The sequence below is a fragment of the Homo sapiens genome, chromosome 10 (assembly GCF_000001405.40).
Source record: "Homo sapiens chromosome 10, GRCh38.p14 Primary Assembly".
NCBI lineage: Eukaryota > Metazoa > Chordata > Mammalia > Primates > Hominidae > Homo > Homo sapiens.
The window spans coordinates 69,063,296-69,086,643 of NC_000010.11; the positions used below are offsets into that span (position 1 = coordinate 69,063,296).

The 23,348-nt window shown below is 46.2% G+C and overlaps 6 annotated features.

Moving 5' to 3' along the window:
* Positions 2,138-2,277: an enhancer, noted in NCBI's record as "active region_3483". NCBI's record gives its function as "activates an Ori minimal core promoter by ATAC-STARR-seq in GM12878 lymphoblastoid cells {active_cell/tissue: GM12878}" and the evidence as "EXISTENCE:reporter gene assay evidence [ECO:0000049][PMID:35858748]".
* Positions 2,778-2,977: an enhancer, noted in NCBI's record as "active region_3484". NCBI's record gives its function as "activates an Ori minimal core promoter by ATAC-STARR-seq in GM12878 lymphoblastoid cells {active_cell/tissue: GM12878}" and the evidence as "EXISTENCE:reporter gene assay evidence [ECO:0000049][PMID:35858748]".
* Positions 4,330-4,499: an enhancer, noted in NCBI's record as "experimental_16959 CRE fragment used in MPRA reporter constructs". NCBI's record gives its function as "activates a minimal promoter by MPRAs in K562 erythroleukemia cells, with activity observed for the non-introgressed 10:70827466 or rs11817844 variant allele {active_cell/tissue: K562}" and the evidence as "EXISTENCE:reporter gene assay evidence [ECO:0000049][PMID:34662402]".
* Position 4,415: a transcriptional cis regulatory region, noted in NCBI's record as "Neanderthal adaptively introgressed variant 10:70827466 (GRCh37/hg19 assembly coordinates) or rs11817844 in the experimental_16959 CRE". NCBI's record gives its function as "modulates activity of the experimental_16959 enhancer by MPRAs in K562 erythroleukemia cells {active_cell/tissue: K562}" and the evidence as "EXISTENCE:reporter gene assay evidence [ECO:0000049][PMID:34662402]".
* Positions 5,726-6,277: an enhancer, noted in NCBI's record as "NANOG-H3K27ac-H3K4me1 hESC enhancer chr10:70828777-70829328 (GRCh37/hg19 assembly coordinates)". NCBI's record gives its function as "activates a minimal SCP1, AML or CMV promoter by ChIP-STARR-seq in primed H9 embryonic stem cells {active_cell/tissue: H9 hESC(primed)}" and the evidence as "EXISTENCE:reporter gene assay evidence [ECO:0000049][PMID:30033119]".
* Positions 23,122-23,291: an enhancer, noted in NCBI's record as "experimental_16968 CRE fragment used in MPRA reporter constructs". NCBI's record gives its function as "activates a minimal promoter by MPRAs in K562 erythroleukemia cells, with activity observed for both the introgressed and non-introgressed 10:70846258 variant alleles {active_cell/tissue: K562}" and the evidence as "EXISTENCE:reporter gene assay evidence [ECO:0000049][PMID:34662402]".

The following is a 23,348-nucleotide window of genomic DNA, read 5'->3' on the forward strand; positions in this document are numbered from 1 at the left end:
CATCCACAGGTGAGTGCATAAACAAAACCAAGGAGATCCATGCAAGCACATATTTGGTCACAAAAAGAGCGAAGTGCTGAGACATGCAACAATATGAGTAAACCTCAAAAACATTATGCTAAGTAAAGAAGCTGGTCACAAAAGGCCACAAAATGTATGGTTCCATTTACATGAAATGCTCAGAACAGACATGTCCATGGAGGCAAAAAGTAGATTCGTGGTGGACAGGAGCTGGGTGGAGGGAGGAATGGGGAATGAAGAGTATCTTTTTGGAGTGATGAGAATGTTCTGGAATTAGATAGTGATGATGGTTATGAATATACTAAAAACCACTTAGTTGGAGACAGAACTGGGTTCAATCCTGGCTGCCCCCCGGCTTGGTGTATGAGCTGGGGCAAGTTACTCCATTTTGGGATCCTCAGTTTCCTTATCTGTAGGAAGAGACCCTGATCCATTTTGATCCTCATCACCCTATTCACTCCTTCTCCTATGTCCTTGGTGACAAGCCTGGGAGGAAAGAATGTCCTCTGTTGCACTGGATTGCCCTGAGGGCAGTGGATGCCCCTGACTGCTCTGGATTAGACAGGGCACTTTTCCTTTATGTTGCAGCCGCCTACCTTGCAGACCTAATTCAAGGGGTATGAGGCTTATCCTGGAATATTGTCTATTTTGTCCCCAAAATTCCTCAAGCGATTCCAGCATGCACCCAAGTTTGTGAACCACTAACTTCAGCTAACATGCACCAGAATCACAGGAAGGCATTTGTTAAAACACCAATCATTGGTTCCACCTCCAGAGTTTCTGGCTCTGCACACTTGGGCAGGGTGGAGCCTGGACATCTGCATTTCTAACAAGTTCCCAGGTGACACTTATGATGCTGTTCTGGCCCACAGTGAGCCCAAACTACAGCCATGGAGATCAGCCTCAGCTAGACAATAGACTCACCTGGACAGTAGACTCACCTGGGAGCTCTTGCAAACACACAGGCTGCACCAATTAAATCAGAATCTTTGAGGCAAGTCCAGGCCTCAGGACTTCCCCCTCAACATTGCATTATGAAAATGTTCAGCCCGGCACGGTGGCTCACGCCTGTAATCCCAGCACTTTGGGAGGCTGAGACAGGCAGTTCATCTGAGGTCGGGATTTCGAGACCAGCCTGGGCAACAAGTTGAAACCCCATCTGTACTAAAAATACAAAAATTAGCCAGGTGTGGTGGAACGTGCCTGTAATCCCAGCTACTCGGGAGGCTGAGGCAGGAGAATCGCTTGAACCTGGGAGGTAGAGGTTGCAGTGAGCCGACATTGCGCCACTGCACTCCATCCTAGGTGACAGAGTGAGATCCTGTCTCAGAAATAAATAAATAAACAAAAATAAAATAAAATGTTTAAACACACAGCAAAATGGAAAGAATCCTACAGTGAGCAGCTGTGTATCTACCACCTAGATTCTATCTTGGACATGTGACTATGCTTTGTCACACATCAATCCCAACACTCATTCCTCTAACATCAGGATTTCTTAAAGCCTCAATTCCCCAATATTCAGCCACGTTTGAGAACCAAGAGCTAGAGTTTCTGGGCTCCTGCTCTGTAAAGCTCTTTCTGGCTATGATCTGGGGTTCTCTGTGATGCCCTCCCCATCCCTAAGGGTTTGTTGAACAAGAATACATGCATTTATTGAGCACCTACTGAGTACCATTGAGGCTCCCCTTTCCTTGAGCTGACTCTAGTGGTAGATTTCTTCTTCCGAAATGTTTTAAAGCCAGGAAAATTCAGACTAAGGAGCCCCGTGTACTCAGTGTGAGGTCCTCTACTGGTGGGGAGGGTCTTGCTGTGCCACCACCACCAAGACCTGACGATCTGGAGGTGACTTGTCCCAGACCTCCTATCTAACAAAAGACTGGGAAGAAATGAAGCTTCTGGAGAGGGATCCCTATTCGCTCATTCCAGGGTACTCTCCAAGCTGTCATTGTGGGTTCTGTATCCTGCCCTCAGAGCTCAAGGCTTTATAGGGTCAAGCAAACTGCTCTTCGGAGTACAGTGTGATTCTATGTGATAAATGCTCTGCCAAATCAACCAAGGTTTGCAAAGCACTGGACGTACACTTTGGAGGGGAAAATAATACAGGGCTCTGCTGTGTGGAAGCTTCCAGAAGAGCGAACCTGACCAAGAACCATCCCTCCCTCCCCACACCATGGGTGTACAGCTGGCCCTCTGGGGCCTTGGAGTATAGAGGAAGAGGGAGAACCCACAGACATGCATAAGCTTGCTCTAGGCTGCCCGGGTTTCCAGCTGGGCACCTTTGGTTTTTCTTCCACTTCAGCTTCTGGCAGCTGGGGTTGGGGTAAGGGACCAGAGAGCTGCATTTATGTAGGAGACAGTCTTGGTGGGGTGGAGTAAATGAATGTGTGCTCTTGTTTTTGTTTCTAGGGAAACAGTGGAAAAGTTGCTAAATGTGGAAACCCAAGCTGTGGGTCTCTTTCTGGGGTTTCTTTCTCATCCTCTGTGTGGAGTGGCAAGTGGAGAGGAGAAAGTTTCAGAGGGAAGCCAACCCACGCAGTAATTCCCCCAGGGACACAGGCTGAACTTGCAATCCCAGCGGGCAGGAGGCGGGTTCGGGATTTCCTGGCTGGTCAGTAGGGTTAGAGGGTTCATTCTGAAATAAAGGGGGTTTTCCCTCCATCACCAATGAGATCAGAAGAGCTACCGTTTGGAAATACAACCCTGTGTGGAGGTAGTTTCAGCTCTGCTGGTGACTAAAGCTTGGGAGTGGGGACTTCCTCAAACACTTTTCTTCAGTCACTTTGAAAATGTCTGACTCTTCTGGCTCCCTCAGACTGGAGTCTGTTTTGCTGGGGCTTTTAGTGTGACTCATTTTGTATGTCTTCCAAGGTGTCTTCACATTTAACAAAAATGGTTTGCTGGTTTCTTGTGTCTTTAAGGCCCAAGGACCTTAAGCTCTGTGAGGACCATGGCTGCCTGGTGACTCGCTGGGCCTCCAGTGACCTCAGCACAGGACCTGGACAGACTGTGTTCTCCACATACATGGCTTGTTCCACAAACACTGCAGTTTTCCACAACACCAACCAACCCACCAAACAAACAACCCAAATCACGCCAGTCCTGTCATGGGGAATGGTTTTGTCATTTTAGCACATGAACCAGAATGGCAGGAGCCAGGAGAGAAAAGCATGTAGCTCTTCCAAAAAAGCTAATAAGGAAGATTAGGCAGGAAGATACAAAAATATAAATGGTAGAAAAATACAATCTGGTAAGCATGTTGTGATTGCTACTACTCTAAAACATGATGTAGTTAAAAACTGGGCCAGGCATGGTGGCTCACACCTGTAATCTTAGTGCTTTGGGAGGCTGAGACAGGAGGATTGCTTGAGCTCAGGAGTTGGAGGTTACAGTGAGCTATGATTGAGCCACTGCACTCCAGCCTGGGTGACAGAGTGAGACCCTATCTCTAAAAATCCAAAACAAACAAACAAAACTGGCCGGGCTCAGTGGCTCATGCCTGTAATGCCAGCACTTTGGGAGGCCGAGGCAGACAAATCACCTGAGGTCAGGAGTTCGAGACCAGCCTGGCCAACACGGTGAAACCCTGTCTTTATTAAAAAAGTATAAAAATTAGCCGGGCATGGTGGCACGTGCCTGTAATCCCAGCTACTCAGGAGGCTGAGGCAGGAGAATCACTTGAACCTCCCGGGAGGCAGAGGTTGCAGTAAGCTGAGACTGCGCGCCATTGCACTCCAGACTGAGTGACAAGATCAAAACTCTGTCTCAAAAAAAAAAAAAAAAAAAAAAAAAAAAAAAAGAAAAGAAGAAAACCTGGAAGGCAAAGGCAAATGGAAATGATTGTGTTAGTGAGATTACGGGCAGCGACCGTTAAAGGTTTTTCTTAAATTCTAAATGTTACACCATTATTGCAATATAAAAACCAAACCTTTGTGGCTATACTTCATGATGGACACAGCCAGGGCTTGCATGGCAGAAGTCCTTTGGTGTCCTGGCTAGATGAAACTACTTGAGGAATGGGTCCACTTTTTTCATGCATCTCCCCATGGCCTCACACCTAGTAGGACCACACCTAGCACATAATAGGTGCTCAGTAAATACTCATTGAATTAGTGGTTCAGTGTGCAGATTATGCCAAAGGGTGACATCTTTTTGGAGGTACCCAGGGGCATTCTTTTCGGTGAGGGGACACAACAAACGATTATTACTGTACTTGAGAGGTGCTTAGGGGACAAGTTTTCTCTCGTTGCTCAGGCTGGAGTGCAGTGGTGTGAACATGACTCACTGCAGTCTCAACCTCCTGGGCTCAAGCGATCCTTCCACCTCATCCTCCCAAGAAGCTGGGACTACAGGTGTGCACCACCATACCCAGCTAATTTTTAAAGATTTTTGTAGTGACGGGGTCTCTCCATGTTGCCCAGGCTGATCTTGAACTCCTGGGCTTAAGCAATCTTCCCAGCTTGGTCTCCTAAAGTACTGGGATTATAGGCATGAGCCACCTTGCCAGGCCTCCAGAGGCATTTTGATTGGAAGAGAAGACTTGGGAAAAGAAATTGTATCTGACCTGAAAACCACCATCCAAAGGAAAATAAGTCTTGTCAACTCTCATCTTGATTGCATATAAGTTGGTTCTCTTCAATTAATGTGATTTAGTAAATGTATTATCAAATTACTTATCTGTTTATTTGAACTCCTAAGCTTTTCCGCATGTAAATAAAATCACAAAAGAGGAGGAAATACCCCTTGTTAGATGTGGGACCTCATTCTGAGTCCAGAGTCCAAGGAAGGTGATGAAGCCTTGCTCTCAGGGAGGAGCGGCTGCCTAACTCATGTCTCCTTGTGGCTCAGGACCCAGAATCGGTCACCACAGGATGGCCTCCCTCTTGCTTCCAATGCAGGCATCTGTGGAGCTGAGCAGCAAGGTGTTTGCTGCCAGCTCTCCCTTCCTGGGGTCTTGGTGCCTGGGTCCACAACTAGGCCAGCCTCACCAGCACCTTTGTCAGGACATGGGTGGACTTGGCTTGGCGGGGAGGAGCAAGTGGGATGTTTTTGGCATGGTTTGATATTTGCTAACTGGTAAAGGTCTTGCTCCAAATATTCCCTCACCAACCACTTCTGTGTCTGAAATCCCTGTCAGTCTTTGAGAGCAGGGTTTTGAAGATCCCTGCTCAGGTACAGATCTGGAAAGGGGGCCTTTCTGAGCCATTTCTTTAAGGGAAAAAGGGCTGCAAGGTGACTCCACTCTGGGGAAAATGAACCACCAAGTCAGGTTGGAAGGAATTGTGTCTGGGAGCTATTCATGATGTGTCCCTAGCCAGGGAGGCTCAGACCAAATTCTGTCTTTCCTAGTGAGTCTGCCTGGACTACTGATATTAATTCATACACACCGCTAGTTGGTTGCTCAACTTGCAAGACCCTGAGAGAATGGAATGCAATACAGACAACCGTTGGCTTCTTACCCATTGTTTCCCAAGCAGTGCACGAAGCCCTCTACATGTGATATTCTCTTTCTTTTTCCTTCCTTTTTTTTTTTTGAGACAGAGTCTCATTGTCACCCAGGTTGCAGTGCAGTGGCACAATCTTGGCTCACTGCAACCTCCGCTACCCAGGTTCAAGCGATTCTCCAGTCTCAGCCTCCCACGTAGCTGAGACTACAGGCGTGTGCCACCATGCCCAGCTAATTTTTGTATTTTTAGTAGAGATGGGATTTCGCCACGTTGACCAGGCTGGCCTCGAACTCTTGACCTCAGGTGATCCACCCACCTCGGCCTTTCAAAGTGCTGGGATGAGCCACCACGCACGACCCACGTGATATTCTCTTTCAATTTTCCCAACAACCATGTGAGGTAGAAATATCCCTACTTTATAGGAACAAAAATGGAGGCTCAGAGATAAGCCACTTGCCCAGTGTCATGCGGCTAAACATAGTTATGCTGATTAACAGCTAGTACCATTGAGTGCTGCGGGCCAAGGCACTACAAAGGATTCCTGTTTCAACTCACTTGATCCTCATTACATGCTTGTGGAACCCCCTTTTAACAGATGTGGAAACTGGAGTACAGGGAGGTTAAACAGGCTCTCCGAGGCATTCAGCTGGCAGACGTCAGATGTCAGCCTGCTCTTCGCCGCCCTGCTGCATGCAGTGTTGGAGCCATCTGTGTATGAGCCACAAAAATGTGCCGAGAGCCTGCTGTGTGCCAGGCGCATACAGTTACCCTGGAGATCCGACAGCCCTGGCCTACTGGAGGTTACATGCTGGCATCCTCGCACCAGAACTGGTCGTAGATGGCCCAGGGTAGCAAAAGGGTTGGGACATCCAGGGGACATTGGGCCCAGGCAGTGAGTGGCCTTGATTCCTGTCTCCCCTGCCTGGGAAGGGCAGTCAGGGGTGACCCTGACCTCGTCCTGTGTGGCTAACCTGAGGCAATGATTATCCTCTCTAGGGGACTGAGGCAAGCGGCCAGGTGTCTTGAGGGCCCGCTTATCTCAGGACTTGGACCTCTATGGGGTCTTGTCTCACACACCCACTGTGGGGCTTTCCCTATCTCTGCTTTACATGCACATTGCAGAATAAGAGATGCCGTTGAAGGACTCTATCCAAGAAGCCCTTCCCAATGAGATTTGAGGCCAGGATTAAGAGGCCTTAAATGGACATTTCTGTGAGGAAGAAATTGTGCGTGCTTAGATGTCTGTGTCTTTGGAGGGTTTGGAGGGTCAAGACACCATCAAATTTGTGTTTCACAAGCTTGAACTTGAACAAATTTGTGTTTCACAACAGGTTTGATGGGATCTGGACTCTCTCTGCTATGGGGTCAGCCCTCCTGGAGTCCACCCCAGCTTGAGCACTGGAAGCCTGCCCTGGATTGGACAGGAACCCTGCATTTCTCCCACTGGCACTCACCCTCCGCCGATCAAATTATATCCTCGGCTTCCTCAGCAGTACAATCTTCAGAGGACTGTGGAGAGGATTAAACTGTTATTACTGTACATGAGAAGTGCTTACATCAGTGCCTGCTCACAATTTACATGTGATTATTATCATTATAATCCCACCTGGCCTGGTCAACATAAAGAAACCTGGGGCCTGTTCTGACTCCCTACCCCACTTTATTTTTAAAATAGAGACAGGGTCTCCCTCCCTATGTTACCCAGGCTGGTCTTGAACTCCTGACCTCAAGCGATCCTCTGTTCTCGGCCTCCCAAAGTTCTGGGATAACAGGCGTGAGCCACTGTGCTCAGCCTGCTCCTTCCCTTTATCTGCCAGGCTTGAACCCTTCTCCCTGGTGGGACCCAGAAGGCCAGCCTGGCAGAGCTGTGTGAGGACCAGGTAAGCTCTCACACCCACCCTGCCTGGCATGTAGTAAGCCCTTCCTCGCCTCTTTAAAGAAGACCAAGGCAAATGGGTTTATGATTTCTCAGGAAGGTTTTGATTCTGTTGTTTTTCCTTCCCAGCTTCCCAATTGTCTACTGTACCTGCAAACTCCCTATCCTTCAGGTCCAGATCTAGTGTGTCTCCTGCAGCTTCTGTCTAAACTAAGGATTGCCCTTTTGGTCCCTATTCCAGCCCTTCCCCTCTGGGAAATGACGTATGCCTTCCAGAACTTCTAACTTTACCACACTCTGATGGTGAGCTGGGCACTGACTGTGTGGCTGGCATTGTTCTTAATTACCACGTTCCAGGTCTTCACACAGATGGGCTTATTTGATCCTCACTGTGTTCCTATGAGGATGGTGTAATTTTGATCTCTATTTCTTTAAAAAATAGAGATGGGGTCTAGCTATGTTGCCCAGGCTGGTCTCCAACTCCTGAGCTCAAGCAATTCTCCCCACCTCAGCCTCCCAAAGTGTTGAGATTACAGGCATGAGCCATCGTGCCTGGCCTATCATCCCCATTTAAAAGACAGAAAATCTGAGGCACAAGGAGGTTAAACAACTTGCCTGAGATCCCAGTTAGAAAGCGGTAAGTTTGAACCCAAGTAGTGTGACTCTAAGCCCCAGCTCCCAACCACACCATTTTGTTGCCATCGTAACTCTAATGTTTAGAATCTATTGGATACTCAAAGGTCTTGGCGTGTCCTAAATTTAAATAAATAAGTAAACAAATAAATAAATAAATAAGAATCCATAGGAATTGGGAAAAGGAGCATGGTCTTTGTTCTATGAATGTTGTTTGTTTTTTTTTTTTTTTTTCAGTCGAAAGATATTTTACTGCAAAATTGGAGATTTCAAATTCCCCCTGGTTATATTCTGCTGGTGTTTAACCTCCTTCTAAATAAGGCATTCTTTCTGAATCTCACTGAATTCTCTTGTACTAAAAAATAGAACTATTTTTTCTTGCTCCATCACCTGTGGAGATGGAAAAGTACTGATCAGCACGTTCTCTCGCATGCTTGAAAATACCTTCCCGGTATCTCACATCTCTCTGAGCCCATTCTTCTCCAAAGCCAGAGGACCTGGCTCCTTTCCACTAGGCGGGTTTCCTGTTCGTAGCCCTGACAAAAGTGTCCAGAGTTTTCCAGCCTCTCTCCTTCCACTGGGTATGCATTGGGCCATGAGGGTGGCGCTGAGGGTGCACACAGGGTCCAAAGCAAGCCATGTGGCTTGGGGTCCTCCATCTCTGCTCAGAATTTTATTTTAGCTTACTTTGTTATTTTTTATACTCCAGAACATTTAAAAAAGAAATGAAGGTGTAAAGAAGTGGGGTGGGGGGGGGGGCAGGTGGAAAACGTTAGCCTTAATCTCTCCTCCCCTGACATTTTAATACAGGTTGGAGTTGACTTTGAACCTGAGGGCCTAAGTGCCCGGCACTGCGAGGGTATGGCAGGGACCCCATTCTTGATCCTGGCCTTGAGGTTCTCACAATCTGAGCTTGTGAGTATCAAGAACAGCTCTGGGCTGGGCACATTGGCTCACACCTGTAATTCCAGCACTTTGGGAGGCTGAGGTGGGTGGATCACCTGAGGTTAGGAGTTCGAGACTAGCCTGGCCAACATGGCGAAACCCCATCTCTTTTAAAAAATACAAAATCTAGCCGGGTGTGGTGGCAGGCACCTGTAGTCCCAGCTACTTGGGAGGCTGAGGCAGAAGAATCACTTGAACCCGGGAGGCGGAGATTGCAGTGAGCTGAGATCGCGCCACTGCAGTTCGGCCTAGGCAGCAAAGCAAGACTCCATCTCAGGGAAAAAAAAAAAAAAGGAAAGGAAACCAGGCATGGTTGCTCACCTATGTAATCCCAACACTTTGGGAGGCTGAGGCAGGAGGATCAATTGAGGCTAGGAGTTCGAGACCAGCCTGGGCAACATAGTGAGACCCCATCTCTACAAAAGATTAAAAAAAATTAGCTGGGTTTGGTGGCACATGCCTCTAGTCACAGCTACTTGGGAGGCTGAGGTGAGAAAATCACTTGAGTCTGGGAGGTCAAGGCTGCAGTGAGCTGAGATTGCGCCACTGCACTCCAGACTGGATGACAGAGTAAGACCCTGTCTCTAAATAAATAAATAAATAAATAAATAAATGAATGAAGGAAAGGAAGGGGGCTATGGCATGCTGCAGGGTGTGGGGGAGGTTGCAGGATTAGGTGGGACGCCAGGGTTGGCCTCCTTAAGAGGGTGAGAAGGTGAGATTCAGCTTCTCGAAGCTGAGGGGTTTAACCATGTGAGTATGTGGGAGTGGAGCATTTCAGTCAGAGGGAATAGCCAGAGCCTAAAAGAAACAAAATCCAACACAAAATCAGGAAGGGGCCACCTAAGAGATAAGGAGTCTGAGAAAGCGCCAAGGGAAGGGAAGAAGGAGGGTTTCATGCCTATGCTAATTGCATTGTGGCTGCTCTGAGGGTGGGGTCATTTACCCAACCTCGGGACCACCCTCTGCCCAAACCCTTAGGCTAACGGAAATCTGACCAATGTGGTGGTGGAAATAGCTCTGATCCAGGCTCTTTCATAACTAGGACACGGCCTTGAGTAAGCCACATGCTCCTTGGGTCTCAATGGCCTCGTCTGGAAAAGGAAACAGCTGAAAACTGGGTGCTTGCAGGCCCGAGTGTGCTTTGTAATAATAGCAATGTTATAAATAAGATGGCAATTGTAGCATCTTGCCAGGGTGAAGAAGTTAATTATTCTTATGATTGAGACTTTTAAAAATCAAAAGCAAAACCATCTGATTTCTGTGGTTTCTGAGGAAAAGAAAAGCAGGAAAGAAAGATGAAGTGAGGCCGGGCGGGGTGCTGACACCTGTAATCCCAGCACTTTGGGAAGCGGAGGAGGGCGGATCACTTGAGCTCAGGAGTTCAAGACCAGCCTTGGGCCTGGGAGGTTGAGGCTGCAGTGAGCTGTGATCATTCCACTGCATTCCAGCCTAGGCAACAGAGTGAGATCCTATCTCTGAAAAAAAAAAAAAAAAAAAAAGACACAAGTTTTCCTTTCGCCACCATTTAACCATCTTCACTTTGTGGGAACTGTGCTGGGGTGGTGGGTGGGGGGTTGGGGGGACCCTCTCAGCTGCTTGTGCTGGGGTGGTGGGTGGGGGATGGGGGGACCCTCTCAGCTGCTCCCTGGCAGTAGTTCCTTAGCTGAGGTTCAGAACATTCGCAAGCAACCAACCGTCTGTCTGTTGGGAAGGTTTGGAAAGTATTATGCAAATGGTGAAAAAAACGGTCTTTGACAACTTAGCAAAGAATAAAACCTGTCAGAGTGTCCTAGCCTTTAGGCTGTTGGGACCAGAAATACAAAGTCATGTTCTCATAATCTATTAAGTTGCTAAAAGGAGGGATTTGAGAGCATCATCTTGGCAGACACGGGGTTCTGCCCAAACTCTGAGACTTAGGGCCCCGTGATTCTAGGAAGGGCTTTCCCTGCTCACGACAGACAGGAGTGTTTGTTTTTTAAATGCCAGGGCAGAGGTGGGATGGGCTTGCTGGGGAAACTGGACTGATAAAGAAAGTCCTCAGCGTGGTACCTGGAATATCCTAGTGAAACCCCCCAGTGGTGCTTTATTTTTGGGTTACATGGGTTCTTCCAAATGATGTCTGAGTGTTTTTCATTGAGGACTCTCTATTTATGGGATACTTTTTGGTGCAGATACACTTTCAGGTCATGAATCTCTCTTCTTTCTAATCAAGGTTTTCTTTAATTTTGGCTGGGTATGGTGGCTCACACCTGTAATCCCGGCACTTTGGGAGGCTGAGGCAGGAGGATCGCTTGAGCACAGGAGTTCAAGACCAGCCTGGGCAACATGGCGAGACCTCGTCTTTGCAAAAAAAAGAAAAATTAGCTGGGTGTAGTGATGTGTGCCTGTAGTCCCGACTATTCAGGAGGCTGAGGTAGGAGGATTGCTTAAGGCCAGGACTGAGGCTGGAGACTGAGGATGGAGGATCACTTGAGCCCAGGAGTTCAAGGCTGCATGAGCTATGACTGGCGTCACTGCATTTCAGTCTGGGTGACAAAGCAAGATCCTATCTCAAAAAAAAAATTTCCTTAATTTCAAAAAAGTTACCATTTTCTAAGCCAGCACTAACAGAATATAATGCAAACCACAAACATAATTTCAAATTTTTAGTAACTATATTTTAAAAAGTAAAAGAAGACATGTGAAATTAATTTTAATAATATGTCTTAATCCAGTATATCCAAAATATTATTTTTTCAATGTATAATCAATATAAAAAATTATTAATGAGACTTTACATTCTTTTTTCCTTACTATGTCAAATCCAATGTATATTTCACAAATACAGTGCATCTCAATTTGGACCAGCTGCATGTCAAGTTTTTAACAGCCACATGGGGCTACCATGTAGGACAGTGCAGTTCTAAGGACCAAGAGGATGGCTCTTGGCAGTGAGCTTGAGTGGGCTAATCAGGCTGAGCACAGACCCCCTAATCACACTATGATGATGGGCCTCTGAGATGGGGGGTGTCTTCTAGTCACACAGAACAAGGAGGATCCCTGGCCAGGTGCCATGGCTCACACCTATAATCCCAGCACTTTGGGAGGCCGAGGGAGGCAAATCACTTGAGGTCAGGAGTTCAAGACCAGCCTGGGTAACATGGATAAACCCTGTCTCTACCAAAAATACAAAAAATCAGCTGGGCGTTGTGGCACTCGCCTGTGGTCTCAGTTACTCCGGAGAGATGGGAGGATTGCTTGAGCCCAGGAAGCAGAGGCTGCAGCGAGCCAAGATCATGCCACTGCACTATAACCTGGATGACAGATTGAGACTCCATCTCAAAAAAAAAAGAACAAGGAGGATCCCAATGCAAGCCCCATATTCCAAGAGTGTGGTTTTGAACTGAGGTATATTGAGCAAGCTCTTGCTTGCCCCCAACGGTCTTTTCCTCCCTCTCTACTAACCGCACCCCTTACTTCATCCTGGCTTGAGGATTAAATACTAAGATGATCACCAGTCCTTCAATGATTATCATCCTCTATTAAGATGCAAATGTTGGACAAGATTTCAGTTAAGAGGAATAAGTTCAAAAGATCTATTGTACAACATGATGGCTATAGTTAATTTTGTTTTTTTTCAGACAGTGGCTAGAGTACAATGGCACGATCACAGCTTACTGCAGTCTCAAACTCCTGGGCTCAATCAATCCTCTAGCCTCAGCCTCCCCAGTAGCTGAGACTACAGACATGCACCACCATGCCCAGCCTTGACTATACTTAATAACACTGTATTGTATTCTTTTTTGTTGTTGTTGTTGAGATGGAGTCTCACTCTGTCTCCCAGACTGGAGTGCAGTGACACAATCTCAGCTCACTGCAATCTCTGTCTCCGGGGTTCAAGTGATTCTCCCGCCTCAGCCCCCTGAGTAGCTGGGATTACAGGTATGCACCACCACACCCAGCTAATTTTTATATTTTTAGTAGAGACGGGGTTTCACCATGTTGGCCAGGCTTGTCTCGAACTCCTGACCTCAGGTGATCCACCCGCCTTGGCCTCCCAAAGTGCTGGGATTACAGGTGTGAGCCAATGCACCCAGACCAATGTATTGTATTCTTGAGAATCACTGAGAGTAGATTTTAAGTGTTCTCACCACAGAAAACACTAAGTATGTGAAGTAATGCATGCTAATTAGTTCAATTTAGGGATTCCACAATGTGTACATATTCCAGAACATTATGTTGTACACAATAAATATATACAATTTTTATTTGTCTATTAACATAACAAATAAGATGCGAATATTGGGGAGAATATCTTCATTGAGTATCAGCTGAGACTAACGTAGTTGAGGTAGAGATTAGGACGGGATGCAGAACATGTTTTTGGGTTCTGTCTGGAAACTCTGAGGAGTGGCCTTGCTTAAAAACCAGCATTGGTAGGATGGCCCTCAATGGAGTCTTTAGGGTCCCGGCCTTTAAAGAGTCCTTTCGGTACACAACACTTTATCCTAATGGGAACCTTATCAACCATGGCAGCAGCTATGTGAGCAAGAGCAGACTTCAAAATGCTGGGCACCTTGGGTCCATATATATATATATATATATATATATATATATATATATATTTTTTTTTTTTTTTTTTTTTTTTTTTTTGACAGAGTCTCACTCTGATACCCAGGCTGGAGTGCAGTGGCACAATCTCGGCTCACTGCAACCTCTGCCTTCCCAGTTCAAGCAATTCTCCTGTCTCAGCCTCCTGAGTAGCTGGGATTACAGGCATCTGCCACCATGCCCATCTAATTTTTGTATTTTCAGTAGTGACAGGGTTTCACCAGGTTGGTCAGGCTGGTCTTGAACTCCTGACCTCAAGCAATCCACCTGCCTTGGCCTCCCAAATTGCTTGGATTACAGGCTTGCGCCACTGTGACTGGCCAGGTCCATATTTTTCTAAATGAATGAGTCTGTATCTGAAAACTACATTAGGAGTCCTGTGAAGGAGAAAATTTGCAAATTTGTCCTGCCCATCCATTCCTACCCATCCAGAAGGAGAGACTACCCCCTTCTCCCTAGGGAAGCGCCCTTTGACCCTGTTCAAGGAGACAGCTGGTCTTCGAGGTAGGATGTACCTTGGGGAAGGCTGGCTTGACTTTGAGGACGAATCTCTTCTCTTCACCTCTCCCTCCCTCCATTCAGTCATGTTCCAGTGAATGTGCACACCTTTCCTCCAGAGTTTTCTTGAAGGAGGTCTCATATCCCTATTTCCAAGTTCTTGGGAAAAGTGAAAGGGACCTCACTTTCACCTCCGTAAGCTAAGACTATTATTACCACCATGGATGCTCTAAAATCTGAAAAGAAACAGTATTGTTTTGTTTGTTTGTTTCTGAGACAGTCTCTGTCACCTAGGCTGGAGTGCAGTGGCACAATCACACCTCACTGCAGCCTCGACCTCTCGGGCTCAAGTAATCCTCCCACTTCAGCCTCCCAAGTAGCTGGGATTGTAAGCACACACCACCACACATGGCTAATTTATTTCTATTTCATTATTTATTTATTTTTATTTTTACTTTTTTTGAGATGAAGTCTCACTCTATAGCCCAGGCTACAGTGCAGTGGTGCGATCTTGGCTCACTGAAACCTCCACCTCCCAGGTTCAAGCGATTCTCCCGCCTCAGCCTCCTGAGTAGCTGGAATTACAGGCGTGTGCCACTGCACCTGGCTAATTTTTTGTATATTTTAATAGAGATGGGGTTTCACCATGTTGGCCAGGCTGGTCTTGAACTCCCGACCTCAGGTGATCTGCCTGCCTTGGCCTCCCAAACTGCTAGGATTACAGGCGTGACCCACTGTGCCTGGCCTATTTTTATTATTTATTTCTGATTAAAGACAGGGTCTTGCCATGATGCCCAGGCTGGTCTCGAATTCCTGAGCTCAAGCGATCCGCTGCCCTCGGCCTCCCAAAGTGCTGGGATTACAGGTGTGAGCCACCATGCCCGGCCAGAAATACTGTTTTTTGAGACAAGGTCTTGCTCTGTCACCCAGGCTGGAGTAAGGTGGCGTGATCATGGCTCACTGCAGCCTAGACTTCCCTGGCTCAGGTGATCCTCCCACCTCAGCCTCCTGTGTAGCTGGGACTACAGGAACACACCACCATGCCTGGCTAATTTATGTATTTTTTTTAAAGTTGGTGGTATGTTTCACCATGTTGTCCAGGCTGGTCTCAAACTCCTGGACTCAAGCAATCTTCCCACCTTGACCTCCCAAACTGCTGGGTTACAGACATAAGCCACTGCACCTGGTGTGGAAATAATCGTTTGTGGTGACACTTGGATTATCTACTTAACCCACAAATGTTCTTGCCATTCAACCTTCATGATTACTGTATTACTCTCATCCAACTTGTAATATTCCTAACTATATTGTCTTGAGTTTTCAGGCAGTCCCGAGTGCTAATCTTCAACCCAATTTCTTTAGACTCATTGTACTCCAAAGGAGGTTATCTAAAGTATATCCTCCTTTAACAGATTTTTAAAGTTAAACTTTTGTTTGTTTTTTGAGAAGGAGTCTTCCTCTGTTGCCCAGGCTGGAGTGCAGTGGCACAATCTAGGCTCACTGCAACCTCCGCCTCCCAGGTTCAAGTGATTCTCCTGCCTCAGCCTCCCAAGTAGCTGGGATTACAGGCTTGCACCACCATGCCTGGCTTTTTTTTTTTTTTTTTTTTTTTTTTTTTTTTTTTTGTATTTTCAGTAGAGACAAGGTTTCACCATGTTGGTCAGGCTGATCTTGAACTCCTGACCTCAGGTGATCCACCCACCTTGGCCTCCCAAAGTGCTGGGATAATAGGCATGAGCCATCACACCTGGCCTAAAGTAAAACTTTTGTAAACAACCAAAATATTTTTATTGAGCCTTTTTCTTGATTATTAATATACATAATTTTTTTCTACAAAATTTAGAGTAGTCTGGAAAAGATGAAGAAGAAACATTTGTGATCCTACTGTCCAGAAAACACCACTGTTAATTTTTTGGTCAATGGGTAGCTGAACCGATTAAGTTCTAGAGCAGCGGCCGGGAGTGGTGGCTCACGCCTGTAATCCCAGCACTTTGGGACGCTGAGGGGGTCAGATCACGAGGTCAGGAGATCGAGACCATCCTGGCTAACACGGTGAAATCCTGTCTCTGCTAAAAATACAAAAAATTAGCCAGGTGTGGTGGCGGGCGCCTATAGGCCCAGCTACTCGTGAGGCTGAGGCAGGAGAATGGCGTGAACCTGGGAGGCGGAGCTTGCAGTGAGCCGAGATCGCATCTCTGCACTCCATCTGTCTGGGCGATAAAGCGGGACTCCATCTCAAAAAAAAAAAAAAAAAAAATACATCTCTAGTATAATCTTGGTGTGAAGCCAAGACAAGAACATGCAAAAAAAAAAAAAAAAAAAAAAAAAAAAGATGGAGTATGGAGTATTCAATACATATTTATTCATCTATTCATTCATTCAGTGCCTTGAGCGGAGGTGCAGAAGCACGTCAAGCTAATCGGGAAGTTTAGTCCAGTTGAGGATATAATCAACTAAAGGTCATCAAGGTGTAGAGCATTTCACTGAAGTTGGAAGAGGAGCAACCTATTTCAGTAGTAGATACTATTTTTTTGGATGGAGGGTGGCTGTATCCTTTCATTCTTTAGTGAGAATTAAAAGTTAAAATTTAGCTGGGTGCGGTGGCTTACACCTGTAATCCCAGCACTTTGGGAAGCCAAGGCCGGCAGATCACTTGAGGTCAGGTGTTTGAGACCAGCCTGGACAATACAGCGAAACCCTGTCTCTACAAAAAATACAAAAATTAGCTGGATGTGGTGGTGAGTGCCTGTAATCCCAGCTACTTGGTAGGGCGAGATAGGAGAATTGCTTGAGCCCAGGAGGTTGAGGCTGCAGTGAGCTGTGATCCAGCCACTGCACTCCAACCTGGGTGACAGAGCCAGACCTCGTCTCAAAAAAAAAAAAAAAAAAGTTAAAATTCATCATGGGAAAAAATTTTTACCATCTCAATGAAGCTGCTAAATCGCATTTCACTAAGTGATGCTGTTTATATTTTAAATTTTTAACCAAAGCAAAAAAAAAAAAAAAAAAAAAAGCCTAGAGTCTGGCAAAAAATAAGAACCAACTAAAGTGTAGTAACTTAATTGGTAAATGTGGTCAGCCTCTGGGAACTGAAATGAAGAGGCCGTTGAAGATCCGGTTGATGTTCTGTGATTACAGATTAAGGGGCAAGAACTTCCTTCTTCCTTAGTGACCCATAACCTTAAGTATAATTGCAGGTATGGAGTATAACGGTGTGTGTCTGGAGGAGAAGGAAGTAGGGGTGAGGTAGGAAACATTGTCACTGAATTTGGGAATTTGGATAGGTTGCTTATCTTTGGAGGGAGCTCAGCATCTTATGGTGGTAGAATGGATGGATGGGTTATAGGATTGGCAGGAATGAACCAGGTGAGTTCTGGGGACATTGGTGGGGCTATGTACTGCTGCAGGATAGGGTATAAAATAAGAGCAATGAAGGAAGCTGAGGGGGATCCAGTGTACCAGCGAGTGGTGTGTGCTACTTTGAGTTGCACACTCAAGTCATCATGATGGAAGACATGATAGTCATAATCTCTGTGTGGTAGGTGACAAAGGATTTGTCCTTTCATTTTTTAATTTTTTTGAGACAGAGTCTTGCTCTGTTGCCCAGGCTGGAGTGCAATGGCACAATCTCAGCTCACTGCAGCCTCCGCCTCCTGGGTTTAAGTGATTCTCCTGCCTCAGCCTCCTGAGTAGCTGGAATTATAGGCGCCTGCCACCACACCCAGCTAATTTTTGTATTTTTAGTAGAGATAGGGTTTCACCATGTTGGCCAGACTGGTCATGAACTCCTGATCTCGTGATCTGCCCACCTCTGCCTTCCAAAGTGTCAGGATCACAGGCGTGAGCCACTGAGCCCGGACTTGTCCTTTCTTTTAAGTCCCTCCTTGCAATTCTTCACCTGCTGACTTTTCCATAGTAAGCATTAATTAATTAGTTAATTATTTTTGAGACAGGGTCTCACTGTGATGTCCAGGCTGGAGTGCAGTGTCACAATCGTGGCTCACTGCAGACTTGAATTCCTTGACTAAAGTGGTCCTCCCACCTTGGCATCAGCCACTGTGCCTGGCCTATTAATTGTTTTGTTGTCGTTGTTGTTTTTGAGAGTCTCATTCTGTCGCCCAGGCTGTAGTGCAGTGGCACAATCTCGGTTCACTGCAACCTCCGTCTCCCGGGTTCAAGTGATTCTCCTGCTTCAGACTCCTGAGTAGCTGGGACTGCAGGTGCGCACCACCACACCCGGCTTTTTTTTTGTATTTTTAGTAGAGACAGGGTTTCACCATGTTGATCAGCCTGGTTTTGAACTCCTGACCTCGTGATCTGCCCGCCTCAGCCTCCCCAAGTGCTGGGATTACAGGTGTGAACCACCGCGACCAGCCCTAATTTTTTAATTAGAAAAGATAGCTAACTAAAGATAGACAAAAATAATTTTAGAATAGCATCGATAGATAGTGTGTCTTGGGAGAAAGGTAAGACTTAAGAAGTCAAATAAAGACCTCTTTTCTTGATTCATATTCAAAGGGTCCTGCTCTCTCTAACCCACATATCCACTCCTGTGCCCTTTCTGAAATTTCCCGAGAGATGTGTTTCCACTATTTGTAATATCCTATAGTTTTTTGTAAGTCCTATAGTTTTGGAATTGAAATTCTGTGTCCTATTAGACTCAGGGTAGCATTTTGAGAAGTTATTCAATGCCTTTCTTTTTTTAAAATAGGATTTTTTGGCTGGACAAAGTGGCCTACACCTGTAATCCCAGCACTTTGAGAGGCCAAGACCCAAGTTCAAGACCAGTCTGGGCAACATAGTGAGACCCCGTCTCTACAAAACAATTAAAAATTAGCTGGGTGTGGTGGTGCATGCCTGTAGTTTCAGCTACTCAGGAGGCTGAGGAGGGAGGATTACTTGAGCCCAGGAGGTCAAGGCTGCAGTGAGCCATGACTGTATTGCTGCATTCCAGCCTGACAACAAAGTTGAGACGGAGTCTTGCTCTGTCGCCCAGGCTGGGGCTGGAGTGCAGTGGTGCGATCTCAGCTCACTGCAAGCTCCGCCTCCCGGGTTCACGTCATTCTCCTGCCTCGGCCTCCCAAAGTGCTGGGATTACAGGCGTGAGCCACCGCGCCCGGCCTAAAAAAAAAAACAACTTTTTTAAAGAACAGTTTTAGGATGGGCACAGTGGCTCACGCCTGTAATCCCAGCACTTTGGGAGGCTGAGGCAGGGAGATCACTTGAGGCCAGGAGTTCAAGACCAGCCTGGCCAACATGGCGAAACCCTGTCTCTACTAAAAATAGAAAAATTAGCTGGGCATGGTGGCACATGACTATAATCCCAGCTACTCAGGAGGCTGAGGCAGGAGGATCACTTGAACCTGGAAGGTGGAGGTTGCAGTGAGCCACTGCACTCCAGCCTGGGTGACAGAGCGAGACTCTGTCTCCAAAACAAAACAAGCAGACAAAAAAACAAAACCAAGCCAATAACCCCAAGTTCCTCAACTTTTAGGTACCTAGGGAGGTTTCTGGACTAGGACTCTGGAGACAAAATTTTAAGAAGGGGAGCAATCATGCTCTTGGGAAAATACATATATATGTATTTTTAGACAGAGTCTCCCTCTGTCGCCCAGGCTGGAATACAGCGGCACAGTCTCGGCTCACTGCAACCTCCACCTGGCGGGTTCAAGGGGTTCTCCTGCCTCAGCCTCCCAAGTAGCTGGGATTACAGGTGCATGCCACCACACCTGTCTAATTTTTTATATTTTTGGTAGAGAAGGGGTTTCACCATGTTGGCCAGTCTGGTCTCAAACTCCTGACCGCAAGTCATCTGTCTGCTTCAGCTTCCCAAAGTGCTGGGATTACAGGCATGAGCCACCGCACGCGGCCATGGGAAACTAATATTAATAGATGTGTGGCTATGGTGATGAGAAGGGAGGAGCTGGAGAAGGAGCTACACGGCCCTGCCAGGGATGCCCTTGAAACTATGCCCTCTTCCAGGGCATCCCTACGTTGTTCCTCGGTAAGGAGACCAAGGACACAATGAGAGCTGCTCCCTTGGGATCAGAAGCATCAAGATAATTTCCTGACCAGGTGCGTGGCATGTGCCTGTAGTCCCAGCTACCTGGGAGGCTGAGGCAGGAGAATTGCTTGAGCCTCGGCATTTGAGTCCAGCCTGAGCAACATAGCAAGACTTTGTCGTAAGAAAAACAAAAGGTGATTTTTTTGTCTTGGCCACAGTCTCCCTGTCCACTAAATGATTGAGGGTGGGAATGGAAGTAGAACCAAAATAATAGGAAACTCAAAGTTGTCTGAGATCCGTGAAAAAATAAGCCACTTTTTAAAAAAACATGCCTTTTTTTTTCTGTAACACCTTTTTTAAATCAGATGTTTTCTCATTTATATGGACTCTAAATAAAATGAAGATCTCTTTTTAAAAGGATAATTTTTTAGAAGTTTTATGGAAAAAAATTTTTTTTTTAGACAGGTCTGGCTCTGTCACTCAGGATGCAGTGCAGTGGCATGATCTGGCTCACTGCGACCTCCACCTCTCTGGCTCAAGCTAGCCTCCCAACTCAGCCTCCCAAGTGGCTGGGACTACAGGCATGAGCCACCATGCCCAGCTGATTTTGGTATTTTTCACAGAGTCGGGGTCTTGCCATGTTGCCCAGGCTGGTTTCAAACTCCTGAGCTCAAGTGATCCGCAAACCTTGGCCTCCCAAAGTGCTGGGATTACGAGTGTGGGCCACTGTGCTGGCTTATTATGTAAATTCTCAAAAATATATTAAAGTAGGGAGGATAGTATAATGAACCTTCTTTTACTCATTGCTCAACTTCAGCAGTTGTCAAACCACCAGTATACCCTCCCCATCTACCCTCAAACCAGATTATTTAGAAGCAAATCCTAGTCATTTTATCATGCTAAACAGAAATGCTTAGCATGTACCTCTACAAGAAAATAACAAAAAGGACTTCTGATTATTTACAAATCTTAATCTTGCTTCCCCTTCATTCCTCATCTATCCCAGGGCATGGATTAGGAAGCGTGAGTTCTAACCCTGGTTTGCCCCTTGCTAACCGTGTGAGCAGAGGCAAATCATTTAACCTTTCTGGACTTGCATTTTTCTCACCTGAGTGAGGGAACTAGATGATTTCTAAGATCCCTTCTAGTTCTAGAAATCAAAAATTCATGCAAGGGCCGTCCTTCAAGCCTCTAGAGACATACAGATTTGGTGCAGTATCTATTTACTGGTTTTTGTTTGTTTGTTTGTTTGTTTTGTTTTTTTGGTGCAGTGCCCAGTTCAGAGTCAAGACCCTCTCAATGAAGAGCCAAGCAAAAGTCCTAGAGGCTGCTGGTGGCGGAATCTTTAACCTGGAGCTTTAGGAAAGAAATAGGCCTTGGAGCTTCCCCTTTGTGCAGTTTCATGGTGCCCTCTGTATCTCTTCTCATAACCTCAATTTATCATTTTTTTTTTCTTTTTTTGAGATGGAGTCTTGCTCTGTCACCCAAGCTGGAGTGCAATGGCATGATCTCTGCTCACTGCAACCTCTGCCTCCCAGGTTCAAGCAATTCTCCTGCCTCAGCCTCCTGAGTAGCTGGTATTAGAGGTGCCCGCCATCATGTCCAGATAATTTTTTTGTATTTTTAGTAGAGACAGGGTTTCACCATGTTATCCAGGCTAGTCTCAAACTCCTGACCTTAGGTGAGTGATCCGCCCACCTTGGCCTCCCAAAGTGCTGGTGTGAGCCACCCTGCCCTGCCGGCGACCCGTCACTTTATTAAACAACAGGAACTGATTTCTGTCATGTTCCAGGTGACTGTTAAGGAATAAGAATACTCATTTTATGGGCAAATAAACTGAATGTGAAGTAAAGTAGGTGCATCTCAGGTTGCCTGGTGAAAGAAGGATTAAGTCTGGTATAGGGTTTGTCTTTTAAAATTGTGGAAAACATGCATATCGTAGATTGACTTTTAGGGAAAGATGTGGGTCCTATTGGGTTAATGGCGGAATCTTTTGGTAAGATCATGCCCAGCCCTGAGGACTGTTGCCAATGCCTCCCTCACCACGTGTGCCATGTGCTCTTGAGGACATCCTGTCATTGGCTTCCCACACCATCATTACATCTGGAACAAAGGACGCATAAAAAGTGAGTGGCCCAGCGTGGCTCAGCTGGTAAGTGAAGGGCATGGGCTTGGACCCAGGACTTCCAGCTGCTGCAGCATGTGTCCTGCTCCCCTACAGCTTGAAGAGGGCTAAATGAGACTGGAGGACTTCTTAGAAAAAGAGACTTGATTATCAGCGTAGTGGGAGAAGAGCAAATGCTTATGAATACTGCACCTGTGCTTTAAAAGTCACCATGAGCTGGGCGTTGTGGCTTACGTCTGTAATCCCAGCACTTTGGGAGGCCGAGACAGGTGGATCACTTGAGGTCAGGAGTTCGAGGGCAGCTTGGCCAACATGACAAAAACCCCATCTGTACTAAAAAAAAGAAAAGAAAAGAAAAGAAAAGAAAGAAAGAAAAAAAATTAGTCAAATGCGTTTGCTTGAACCCAGGAGGTGGAGGTACACCCTGGGCGACAGAGAGAGAGAGGTAAAAAACAACAACAACACCATGACCCAGAGAAAGAAAGAAAAAAAATGAAGTTCCCAAATGGAAAAAGCCCCTAAAATTACCATTTTAAAACACAGCCCTAATCAGCTCTGGGGATTTGCAGGAAACTCATCGAAGCTATTGATAGGAACTATTGTTTTGGTGCCAGGGTTTTCAATTGGGAGTTAGATTTAAAAGGACCAAAGATGACATCTGATATTTCAAACAGAAACCGACATTTCTCAGTGGAAAACTTTCCGGGCCAGTGCATTTTGGGGTTGGTTACTGTGCTTGGAGACGCCCCTGAGTTGGAGGACACACTTCTGGCTGATGTGAGGGGCTTCTGAGGAGGGCCAAAATGTACACTCTTTGTGTTCTTGCACCACGGCTATTAGACTGTGAGACTCTGTCCTTAGCAGGAAATGGTAAAGGAATCAGCAGGAAGCCTAAAACAAGGGAAGGGAAACTCCTCCCTCCTATCAAAGGCCAGGCAAGGGCGAGGATGAGAATGGAAAGTGGGGCACGTGCATTAAGCCGTCTGGGGGAGCGGTAGGGATAGACATGTTGAAATGGAGAGTGGTTGAATCTTGAAAGGAAGTAAGGAAAATGTATATGCCACAAGGGCAAGGATGTATGATAGGCTTGTATTTATTGTATAACTTTATTTTATTTTATTTTATTATTTTTAGTTTTTTGAAATAGAGTCTCTCTCTGTCACCCAGGCTGGAGTGCAATGGCACGATCTTGGCTCACTGCAACCT